Raw genomic sequence first — 12,331 nt, 5'->3', positions numbered from 1 at the left:
TTAGGGACATGGACAAAGATGTAACAATTAGATTATATTAATTGTATTTGTTATGTTGCAATGGGAATGATTTTACTTGCTATAATAATGAGCTCTGTTATAATGGGTATTCTCCTTGATCTCACCTATTCATTCATTAGAATGAGGTTTTATTCTTTTCCTTTCACAGAGTAAATATACAATAAGATCAAATAAATTTTGATGATTGCCAACAGATGGTGAGGGGCTCAACTTGAGGACCATCTGATCTTTGGCTTTTCAGTTCTTTCCGGCTGTTCTTTCTACTTAATTACCTTCCCCTCACTTCCTAATCCCTTCCATGTAATTCTACACCAAGACTGGGTCTAGCACTATTAATTTTCCACAGCCTACGCTGTTTTCTGATAAGATATTCTTTCTTAGCTGGTTGCTAATGGACCTAAACAGTCTGGTTTTAGCAGAACCTTTCAATCCTATTTGAATCATGTCTTTGCTCAATTTATTAATTCAGTTTAATGCAGAGAATTTAAAACTTACTCTTACAATTTAATCTCATTTCAAATCTGACACAATGAATCAACCACCAGTGATTTTACATAATCAAAGAACCATTTCAACTAACCTGTCTTTAAAATCCTTCTATGTGAGACATATATTTTTTTCAATCATTAAAACAGGCTTACTAGAGTGATATATGTGTTTCAGTAACAAATTTCCCTCATTACCTGAATGCATCTCTGCATCTTTTGAGAATGAAGCAGAGAAAATATTGCTGTAATAGATATTTTAACAATATATCACGGAAGCACGAAAGATTAGGAATGTCTAAACACTCAGAAAGGACCTCCTAGGGCAATTTTCTAAAGATTTTTTTATGTATATTTATATAATCCATATCTAGACAGAACCTTTTTTTCCTTGACAGGTGTATTTTAACAACCAGTTCAATATAAGGAGGCTGTCTCCGTGTTCTGTTCAATAGTCCCTAATAACACTGCTTTACCAAGGGAGACGAATAAAATTTTGTTGATTGAAACATACTGCGTCATAATGTGTTCTCATGTTTCCGTAATGTTTAGCAGTAATTTAACAAAGTGCTTGTTCATTTGAATCAGAAATTGTACATCAAAACTATATATTGTTCTACATGTAGCCTGCATTCATAATACAATAAAGCTTAGTTTTAAATATACCATCTATGTTTTGTGAATGCTAGTTAAAAATAATCCTAGTTTCTTCTGATAATGAAAGTAATATATGTTTATGTTTTTTTGAAAAATGCAGACAGATTAAAGAAAAAACCCTGGCAATATGCATCACCTCACTAGAGATAATGGTTATTAATATTTTTACATACATCCTTTCTGAATTTTTATGCATATCTGTAAAAAATAAAAATTTTTAAGCAAACTTGAACTTGTATGTAATGATTTACATGGATAATCACTGCACACATTAACTTAGATGAATTTTACTCTCTCTGTGTGTGAGACAGACAATAATTTAATTAAATTTTTAAAATTTCTCTTCATTTAGCTCATGAATATATGCTTTGGAATAAGCATGAGATGGGGGATAGGAATTTCTTTTTTCTTAGTCAATTCCAGTTTCTGTGTGTCTCACATGGTGTGTGCAACTTGCTACAGTGACTATGATTCTGATGGCAAAAATACATATTTTTCTTATAACATGGTCTATACTCAGGCCAACAACTTTCATGCACAATCACAGAAACAGCCATGTATTCTAATACTAAAAGAAAAACTGTGTGGAAGTTATGGTATTTGGTCTTCAACCTAGAGATTTTCAAGGGTAATGTTGATTATGCAAAACTTTTTCTCCATTATGTGCTGGTTTTAAAACCTAACTTCCTGCATGGGATGCAACTCCCCTGTAATCTATACTTGTTTATTTTAGCAAATAGCTATTAATTTTCTTCTATAAGTATATTTTGAGAACATTTAAAATACTGGATTGCAATCCATCAAATGGATGCACCATATCTACTTAAACCAATCCACTATTATTAGACATTTGGTTAATTTCCAATGTTTTGTTATAAATAAAGCTATGACAACTGTTGCGCTTGAGATATGATATGAGGGTCAGTCATTATATTTGCACATGGACTTAATGCTATTGTAGTGTCTTTCTTTCAGGCAATTTTATCACTCCCATGCTAAGATATAGGAAGAAGGGGGATGTGACTTCCCAATAACCAGCTGGGGGTTGCCTTCACTGGAAGAGAAGGCAATAAAACGGGATTTTAGAAAAATAACCTTTTGGTGTTTTTTGCAGACACCTTTCCATGACACCTGTTCAGAGGGTTGGATTTGCACATAGTCATGTGAACCAGTTCAAAGAGTGTATTTGTGTGGCTTTTTGAGAGCTGCAGTGCTCTAGTTCCTTCTGTCAGCTTTGCGCTGCAAATAGCCATGGCATTTCCCAAAGTTAGAAGACTTCTGTGATTCACGTGCTTGTTCCTCAGACCCACACAGCTCTCCCTCCAAGTTTAGGTTGCCCCAGACAGCTGCATTGGGGGACAGCTACGTGCTGTTCTGATTTGTGCAGTGGAGAGAAAACTTGAGTCTCACAGCTTTATGAGAAGCCTTCATATGGACTCTACTGGGTCAAAGTCTTTAGAAAAATCAAATATTAATTTATTAGCATTCATTCCTTGTCCAAGATATAAACATTTTTAAGGCTTTTGATACATACCGATAAATTTCTCTCTAGAAATTTTGTACCAATTTATACCACATCAACTGTAGATGAGAGTGATCTTTTGTCTAAACTCTTATCAACCTATTATTTTGAAAAGAAACAGCCAGAGATGAAGTGAGCTTTTTAACTTCGTGTTTCTTTAATTTCTAAAGTAACTGGACATTTTTTGTGCATTTTAATGAACTTTTGTTTTTTGTTATTGATGTTCTTTGTCTCCCCCAACCCCTCTTTTTTTCTGTACAAGCATTAAAAAATGATGTCTAAGAACTCTTTCTAAGTCTTTATCTAAAAACAAAATGCTCAAATTGCATGAAGAAGCATATATATATATATATTTTTTTTTTTTTCTTTTCTTTTTTTGAGATAGAGTCTCACTCTGTCACCCTGGCTGAGATGCAGTGGTATGATCACTGCAGCCTCTACCTCCTGGGCTCAAGCAATCCTCCTGCCTTATCCTCTGTAGTAGCTGTGAGTACAGGTGCACACCATCATACCTGGCTAATTTTTAAATTTGTGTAGAGACAGGGTCTCACTATGTTGCCTAGGCTGGTCTCAAGCTCCTGGGCTTAAGTGATCCTTTTGCTTCGGCCTCCCAAAGTGCTGGGATTATAGGTGTGAGCCACCAGGCCTGACCAACATATATATTTTCAAGGAGAAAGGAGTGCTAGGAAGAGTGTGAGATGGGTAGATACAAAGCAGGCATTCAAATACAAAGTATTTGAATTAAATTAAGTTTCTGTTTTATTGAGAAAAGTTATAAAACATTACAACTTTTGTGATGCAGTTTGTAATAGAGATGTTATTTATGGTCTTTCATACCCTTGCCCCCTTTAAAAATTGCCCACGCAGAGCTTCTGATGTCTAGGTGGCTATGTTTTATATCACACGACTCTCATGATGGGATACCTACCCAAATGTCAGCACTTACTAGGCTGTCTAGAGATTTATGAACTATATCAGAATCTCTCTCTTAGAAATCAAATAATAATAATGATGAAAGCCAATTAATAGCAGATATGAAAAAAACATGCAGAATGTGAATGAACCAGATTAGTGGTGAAGCTGTAGAGGAAAGAGTTGAAAAAGTCACAAACTCCTGCTCCTGAGATCTCTGAAGCCATCTTAAATAGAGAGCCAAGCCTGTCATGGTGGTGTGAGCCTGTAGTCCCAGCCACTTGGGAGGCTGAGGCAGGAGGATTGTTTGAGCCCAGGAATTCGAGGCCACAGTGTGCTATGATGGCACCATGAATAGCCACTGTATTTCAGCCTGGGCAACATAGCAAGACCCTGCCTCTAAAAAAATAAATAAATAAAGGAGCAGCCACGTTGCAGCTCCAATTTCAGTAGTCTGTTACCTTTCTTGCTCTTATTTCTCTATGTATGTCCCTGTCACCTGAGCTTCCTTGACTGGATCTCTGTTCGTTTTGCTTAAATAAACCTGAAGATACAAGATGATTATAAGGTAAAGTACCTATGATACAGATTTTGGACTATCTTAGTTACTACAACTCTATACATATTCCAGCAGTCATTTTTATAGTTTCCTCTTTTGTTTAATAATTGTTCAACATAATGAGATAGCCAGGTGGGAGAGGGTCCCTGGAAAAACTCCAACCAGCCTGCACACCAGGAGGAATGTGCATTGGGTGGAGACACGGAAGTTCACGCTGTTTGCAGAGGGGAGTAGTCTGGCCCCTCCTCTTCCTATCTGGAACCTGGAATTCAAATGACCAGGCGAGAAGTACTCTAGCAGGGACTCTGGCCTAGGGAGAGTCCCCGTTTCCCCTTTTCTTCTTTTTTCACCCAGTAAAACCCTGTCTTACTCACCATTCAAACTATCTGCAAGCCTGAATTTTTGTGGCCATGGAACAAAGAACCCTGTCATTAGCTAAACTAAGGAAAAGTCCTGCAACAATAAAATCACGAAGTCTGGAGTCTGTATTACTGGGCTAGGTGATAGAGATACAGAGATGAATCAGACAATCTGCCATCTAGAAGCATGTAGTTCAATTACACTTTTCTATATAGCGTGGTTGTTCATTACTGCAGATTGTCAGATCAGTGGTGACCAACTAGTTGCTAGGCAACTTGAAAGACAAGAATACAGAACGGATGCAGCTTCATTCTGTTATAAATTCTTCTTTGAAATGTTTGTCAAGAACTCTGAAGGATCTGGAATTTTCTCTACTTTAAAGCTAAGATGTTAGCCGGCCACAGTTTAATAGATGCTGGCGGAAGGCATGCAGCTTCTGGGTCAGAGACGAAAGACTTTGTTCCAGCAAGGCAAGGAACTAAAAGCTTTATATTTGCTTCAGGCCCCCTTTCCCCAAGTCCCTTGGGGAAAATGCAGAGCAATCCAAATGGATGTGTTGCAATTGAGAAACACCAACAAATGGAACCCAAAACTACAATGGGCTGGGAGCAAACCTGCTTGACATTTGCCCTGCAGGGAGCTATTATCTTGATTATAGTGGACAGTAACCTCTCCTCTGAAGGGAGACATTAACTCTCTCTTCCAAGGTTGCACACTATCATTATACAAACATCCTTGAACAGATATTTCAGAACGAAGGTCATCAGTGTCTCTGCTTGCAAAACATGCAGAAATGCCAAACATCCATGAATTGTGTTCCAACAATGTTCTTTATCTGGGTACTTTTTAAGACTATTCAAAATTGTGACTCTTATTTCTACTTTAAGATGGTCCTGTATTCCTCCATTTTTGCCATGTCCTGTTTACTAGGTATATTAGTTGAAACTGTTTTTGTTTTATATAACAGAAATTAACTTTCTCTAACTTAAGCAAAAAGGAAAGTTAGTAGAAGGATACTGGATTATTTCATAATTGAAAGAACAACCAAAAATCTAGTACTGTTTTGTGACCTCATCTGCAAAAGTTCACAGTCGTCTGTAGAGTGCTGTCATTGTCATGCCTCCATTATTCCTTGCCATTCTCCACTACAACTTTTAAATTTTCAAAAGAGAGGAGTTGAGTGGCTCAGCTTGGCTAAGGCTCTTCCTCTAGCTTTTCAGTTATGCCCAGAGGGGAAGGGCCATAAAAGCACCTAGTAAATCTTGGCTGCTCCCATAGAAAGAGAGATGATTTCTTTGGAACTTTGGCATCCTTCCCGATTGCTTTCTATTATATCTGGATTCATTTTTATTGATATTCCATTGCTCATTAGAGAAATGCAGTTATTGTTTTCAGCATTATTTCATTTCGCTTTTTAAATTAATTCAGTACAGTTTTGCTTTGTGTGTCATTTTCTTAGCCATCTTTTACCATTTTTCCATTTTTTAGAGTCATCTTTTGAAGTGATCTGAGCTAATTGAGTAATTCAAGAGTTTTTGGTAAATATAAGTCATCTCTGGTGATTGAAGATAGATAGGACTATATGTCTTTCCTTGTCAATCTTGCTACCAAGTAGTATGTCACAAGTAGAACAAGATTTAGCCTAAGTTTCATTATGTTAAATATTTATTAGTTCTCCATATATCTTCAAGACCATATTTCAACTATGAAAAATTATTATTGACATCTTTTATGCTAATTAACACACCTTCTGGTGTAGATTTTAATAATGATATTTGAAATGCCAGAATAGCCAATTCTAAAGCTATGGATTTTCCTAATTAGGATATGTCCAAGATTACTCAATCAGCCCTGGAGTGTGGATTAATGTTACTTTATAGCCCTCATGCACATATATACATAAAACCTCCTGTGGAAGTATTTTTGAAATAAATTACCTGACAGACAATATAATAGGTCAGATTTTAGGCATTTAGTCATGTACTCATGCTAATTTCCACACTCCTTTGTAATTAACATTCTTCCTGACTGGATTAATTGGGTTTGCAATAAGTAATCACATTTGTAATATTGTAACTGTTCCCAAATTAATTGCTCACATGTTCAATGAGCCATTACATGTTCTTTTTAAAACAGCTTAAAGAGCCCACTATTTGAAAGCTGTAGTCCTAAACATTTTGGGGAGAGGGATACAGAATCACCTAAAAATATGATGATGTTAATAAACCAGTGGTTCTCAAACTCTGAGAGTACATGGGAACCACCTTGGTGTACTAATTAAATATAGAAATATCTTGGGTCCACCCCTAGCAATTCTGGTTTGGTAAATATTGTGTGGGATCTGGAAAAACTTAGAGAAGTACAATATACTTTGTCTTCCTAGAAAAAGGCACATAGGCACAGACTTCCAACTTTGCCATTGACTTTAAGGGAGGGTTTCAGAACCTTGTGGCTTTAGTCTCATACAGTTTTCCTCAAGACTTCCTGCAAATTGCAATCACCGAGGGAGTTTTAAATAATATTTCAGACCAATTAGATAAAAATAACGAGTGGTAAAGGTTGACTAAACAGTCTGCATGATTTTCTTCCCAACCCAGAATGCAGACTAGAGATTTTTTCCCAATGTATCAATCTATTTTACTGAATTAGACTTACTTGGCAGATACCTCACAAAAGTGATAATAAAAAGACCAATAACCCTATACATCCTACAAAATACGCAGTTTAATTTGTGTATTGGTGAGAAGGCACATCATTTTTGTCATTGATTTGTCTTTCTCTTTTCAATGGTTCAAAAGATTTAGTGGACTTTGTTCTGTTTTTGATACATAGCCCTCCCAAGTTTGAGAGAAGGAAAGCAAAGCTCTTTTTATAATTTATGGTGTCAAGGTGACCATTTATTGTGATATTTTAGTGGAAGAAAGTCTAAGAAAACATGTGGAGGTTAAAACTGACCATAAATTCACTATATTTTTAAAAGCATTCCCAGTTGTAAATAAAAGTATGTATTTGTTGTGAATAACTCAGAGAAATTGTTAAATGGGCAATTTTCTAGATGCTATCTGAGAACGGTTTTTTTTTAAAATTATTTTCATTAGGAACAAACCTTATCATGATGAACAAAGTAGCAGTTGGAAACTCTAGTTATATTGATAAACTTTTAGAAATGATTTCAAACTTCTGTATTATAAGGGAAAGTAGATCTATAATCAGTGTTAAAAAAACCATTTTGAAAATATCTATAATCAAAGCTGCTTCTATGTTTCTTTGAAGTGGATCCACTTATAATATGACTCATAAACACTCAAAGCACTGGCAGTAATAGGTGATTTAATATGTTTAAAGCCCTTTAGTAAATTCATGTAGGGCAAGAAATTTCTCTGAGGACATTAATAATTGTGATTATTTCTTATGCTGATAAACTCTTGAGTTAGAATTTTTACAGCCGGCCACACGGTTTTAGAAAATCAAGTAAAAATTAAGTGTCAGAGGTTTGGCAAATTTAACATGTATGAGTTATAGTCCATTTGTGTTGAAGAACTGGCTTCCAAGTAAGCAAAGTAGCCATTTTTAAGCTTAGAAACCTTCTTTTTTTTTTTTTTTTTCAAAATTGGACACACTTCTAAAGGCATAAGGCAGAGACCAGCTAAATATTAAATGCAAATTTGTTCCTTTTGTCAGCAATTTTATTTTATGACTGTGAAGGTGGAATTGTGGGTTTACTTTTGCAAAAAATTGGAGAGATTTTTATGCTTTTAATAAAAACTGGATGATTTTCTATTGGGTTGTGGAGAAGGACTCACCAAATTATGAGTATTTGAGACTTTGCTGGAAGCTATCTGTGGTAAGGGAAATTGCAGTATAATTGAATTGTAGATGCGCTATCATTTTAGGCCACTGTTGTTAGAGAAGATAGTACTTGTGAAAAGGTGGTTACTTTTCTTGGTGATGGAATTAAAGGCTTTTAGGGAGGATTCAGGCTCGAGGGGATAATGATAGTGATGGTTCTAATGCTCCCGAGTGCTTACGTCCTGCCAACCTTGCAAGCTGCTATGCATTCATATCTCTGAACCTTACAGTCCCGTGCATAGTGTTATTATCATCCCCATTTAATAGATTAGGAAATGGTGGACAGCATACAAATCCAAATAGCTCTGGATTCCTAAACACTGGTTCTTTTCTATCACACCCTCTTGTCTCTGTTCCATATAATCCACTCACCCTTTACTTAAATCCTCAAAGGTGCTCACTTTATCTCGGGGCAATATTTGTAGCATCGGACAGCTCTACTCATCCAAAAGTTCATTCTTTGAGATTATGTTTGTTTCTTTGTGGCTTCCACTTATTGGCTCCATGGGAGAAATATTAAAGATAGATCAGAGAGGGAAAGTAAAATAGGGAGTACTGAGAACATGAAGGTAGACCCCTGTGGAAGTTGAGGAGAAGGCTGTGTGTCTGGAGTTAACAGGATATAAGCACAGGAAGCTGTTCTATTTTCTCCCCTTAAATTGGAATTTTCATTCTCCAATGGTATGCCCGCGGCACTGTTAAAGGACTGAGGTGTTCTGTTATCCAGCCAGCAGGGGGAGCATTGAACTCGAATTGACATATTGTAGCGATAGAAAGGTCCATCCACTTGGCACTAGGTGTTCTTACTCTGCCTAGCATTAATAGATTCCATTTTAAAGATGTTGTTTAAGTTTTATTTCATCATTATTGTTGTTAATTAAGCCATTGGACACCAAGAGCAATACTACACTACAAAAATATGTTCACTTTGATAGTAAAAATGCATTGTGTGCTTTGCTTAAAAATGTCTTTAAATTTACGGTGAATCTCAATTTTAAGGATACCTTTCTAGATTCCAGTAAGATTGTTAATTTTGGCCAGAATTAATCCTATGTCTGGAGCTCAGAATAATAGGTTTGCTTTGGAGCAATCAGATGAAAAGATTTGGTTCTATTAGGTGATTTGAGGATCCCTGGAAAACAATTACAGTATTGTCCTCAAGACATTTTACAGTGCCAGAAATTGCAATAATTTTTAGGTTAAACTCTATCACTTTTCAAAATTAAAAAAACTAATACAAGCACATTTTACCTAAAAGGCATAGCTCAATTAATTGTCCCCCATTACTGAGTTTGTTTGCTCTTCTTTAAAAAGATTCTGAAGATTGGTGTATTTTTATGTTACAAAGTACAGGTCATAAGGTATATGTCAAGCCTAGTTAAAGCGTAGGACAGAGGACTCATACCAGAAAAGTGGAAGAATAAAAGACAAACCATTATTTACATTTGGACTGGTGCTGGTTGGTTCTCTCAGGTCTTAGGGTAGGAGAAGCAGCATGTTCTGAGTAAGACACCTAAGATGAGATATGAAAGTCATAGTTCAAGCCGGGTGCAGTGGCTCACACCTGTAATCCCAGCACTTTGGGAGGCCGAGAAGGGCGGATTACCTGAGGTCAGGAGTTCGAGACCAGCCTGACCAACGTGGCACAACCTGTCTCTACTAAAAATATCAGATTAGCTGGGCATGGTGGTGCATGCCTGTAATCCCAGCTACTAGGGAGGATGAGGTAGTAGAGTAGGTTGAACCTGGGAGTTCAAGCTGTAGTGATCCAAGATCGCACCACTGCACTCCAGCCTGTGCAACAAGAGTATAACTTCATCAAAAAAAAAAAAAAAAAAAAAAAAAAAAAGAGAAAGTCATAGTTCAGAAAAGTCCAGGGTTTAGCGATGTGGATAATACTTCTTTTGTGCAGTGGCTTATAAAGTCTAATTGGGACATGGACCCCTAGGAATATCAGATGAAATTTGTGGACTTTTCTTCCAAGAAAAATGCACATACCCACAAAGTGTATTTAACATGTGATTTCAGGAGTTCATTGATGCTCCTCCTCCCCTGAAGACCATCCTTGTTTAGTGCAATACTCTCTAAAATGGAAGGGGGTGGTGCATGCATCCCAGGGGCGTGCAGAATGATCCACTGGACTATGGACCCTTCTATGTGTATTTATTTTCTGTCTTTACAGATTTTTTTTCTGTAGAGGTTTTATATTGCATATACTAGCACCATAATATATACATAACATTTATATATAAGTAAGTAAATTTGTTGTAAGAACTCAAATTTTTACTGATAAGGAGGCATAACTCAAAATTGATACACTACCACTTTAGAGAGTGGTGCTAATTAAGTGTAAATTCTACACTCTCTTCTTCCTAAATTAGAGGGCCAGTGATCAGAAAATAAATCAAGAGGCTACCACCAGTGGCCAGGAAATTTTGGACCTAGTGATGACAAGTCTATTGTGCATACTTTACTCAGCACTTTCACACATGCCTGTTTTGGTACCCCCAGCAGTTCTGTGAGATGATATGTGTGGTAATGGCAATCTCTAAGAGCAGGCATGTTAACTAAAGCAGGCATGTTAACTAAATTCTCAAAAAACTTAAGAGACTTTCCCAAGGGCCCTGGGCTAGTCAATGGCAGAGCTGATACTCATAGCCTTGGCTGCTGACCACAAATTATGTGCTCATTTCACTGAAGAGCAGGGATAAGTCGCTCATTATGGGTTGTCTATGGCCCCATTGTTGGACTTACTAGTGCTCCCTAAGGATATGGAGTTGTCGAATCCCTGGCTGATCCAGGCACAAGGATAGAAAACATATTTTAGCTACTTGATCAGAGGGTTAGGAAGCTGAGCTAACAATTCAGCACTAGCTCTCTCCTGTTGGTACTGTAATACCAACATATTTCAAAATAGATAGAGGACTCTGGAAGGGTTTAGATACATCTATGTACAAAAAAGATTTACAATGGGTTATTAAATGGGAGTTCTGAGGCTGGCTTCACAAGAAGTGCCAACTGCTCTTTCTCCCAAATTTCCCCTGGTGCCACTGTCAAAGGCAAAGTACTCATCTAGATGGATTTTTGTTCTGACCCAGAATGACATTTCCAACTTTTCTTATATATAATCCAATTTCTGAACTTCCTTTACAGTGATATTAAGTGGAATAGCATAAAAAAGTCTTTTGGCATTAAAGATAATAAATGTATTCAGCATTGCTCAGGTATCTTTGCTCTTTGCCAATGCATTAGCTGTATTGATTTTAGAATTTTAAATGACCCTTTTTACTAGACTTGATTAATGTCCCCTCCCTAGATCTTGGCTACCTGCTTCTTCTCTCTTTCATGTGCAATTTTCTTCCCTTTCACACTCCTACAAGTTAGAGGTGGCTGACCTTCACTCCACCAAGGGTCAAGAAATGTTGTGAGGAGTATGCTTTGGGCCTGGTGATCAGCCTCTAAAGAGTGGGCTCGTCATGGAAGGGCCAAGTCTTCAGTCTATTGCTCTATGTCCACATTTGAGTCTAGGCCCTGGGAACACTCACAGTGGACCTCCTGGCTTGGTAAGTACCAGGCTGTTTTAATATGTGACTTCCAGAGAAGAAGGATTGAGCCAGAGAGCTTGAAGGTGAAATGAGATCTCTATCAAGAGAGGCCAGTTCAATCCAAATATCAGTTACTGTGTGAGACAAAGGTTAATTTCCCGAGACTCCCTCTAATTAATTAATAGTGTCTTCTGTTATCCTCAGAGGATATGTAATTTAAAATTCTGTTCACACATTATTTTATTCTGCCTCTGGAACCGCACTATAAGCTCCCTGAGCTCCCTGAAGATGCTGTGGCCTGGTAGAGCTTTGTACACCCTCCCAAGCTTCTCTCAGGATGGCTGGTCCATGGTGGATGATGACCCTTAGGCCAGGCTTGTCCTTCTCTTCAGGAAACAGGTGGGTGGGAGGTTGACCACTC

At 37.2% G+C, this 12,331-nt stretch overlaps 1 annotated feature.

Annotated features, from left to right (window-relative positions):
* Positions 9,073 to 9,122: a silencer, noted in NCBI's record as "silent region_18377". NCBI's record gives its function as "represses an Ori minimal core promoter by ATAC-STARR-seq in GM12878 lymphoblastoid cells {active_cell/tissue: GM12878}" and the evidence as "EXISTENCE:reporter gene assay evidence [ECO:0000049][PMID:35858748]".

The sequence above is a fragment of the Homo sapiens genome, chromosome 7, assembly GCF_000001405.40.
Source record: "Homo sapiens chromosome 7, GRCh38.p14 Primary Assembly".
Taxonomy (NCBI): domain Eukaryota; kingdom Metazoa; phylum Chordata; class Mammalia; order Primates; family Hominidae; genus Homo; species Homo sapiens.
Note: the sequence above shows the minus strand (reverse complement) of the source record. Positions and strands in the feature narration are given on the sequence as shown.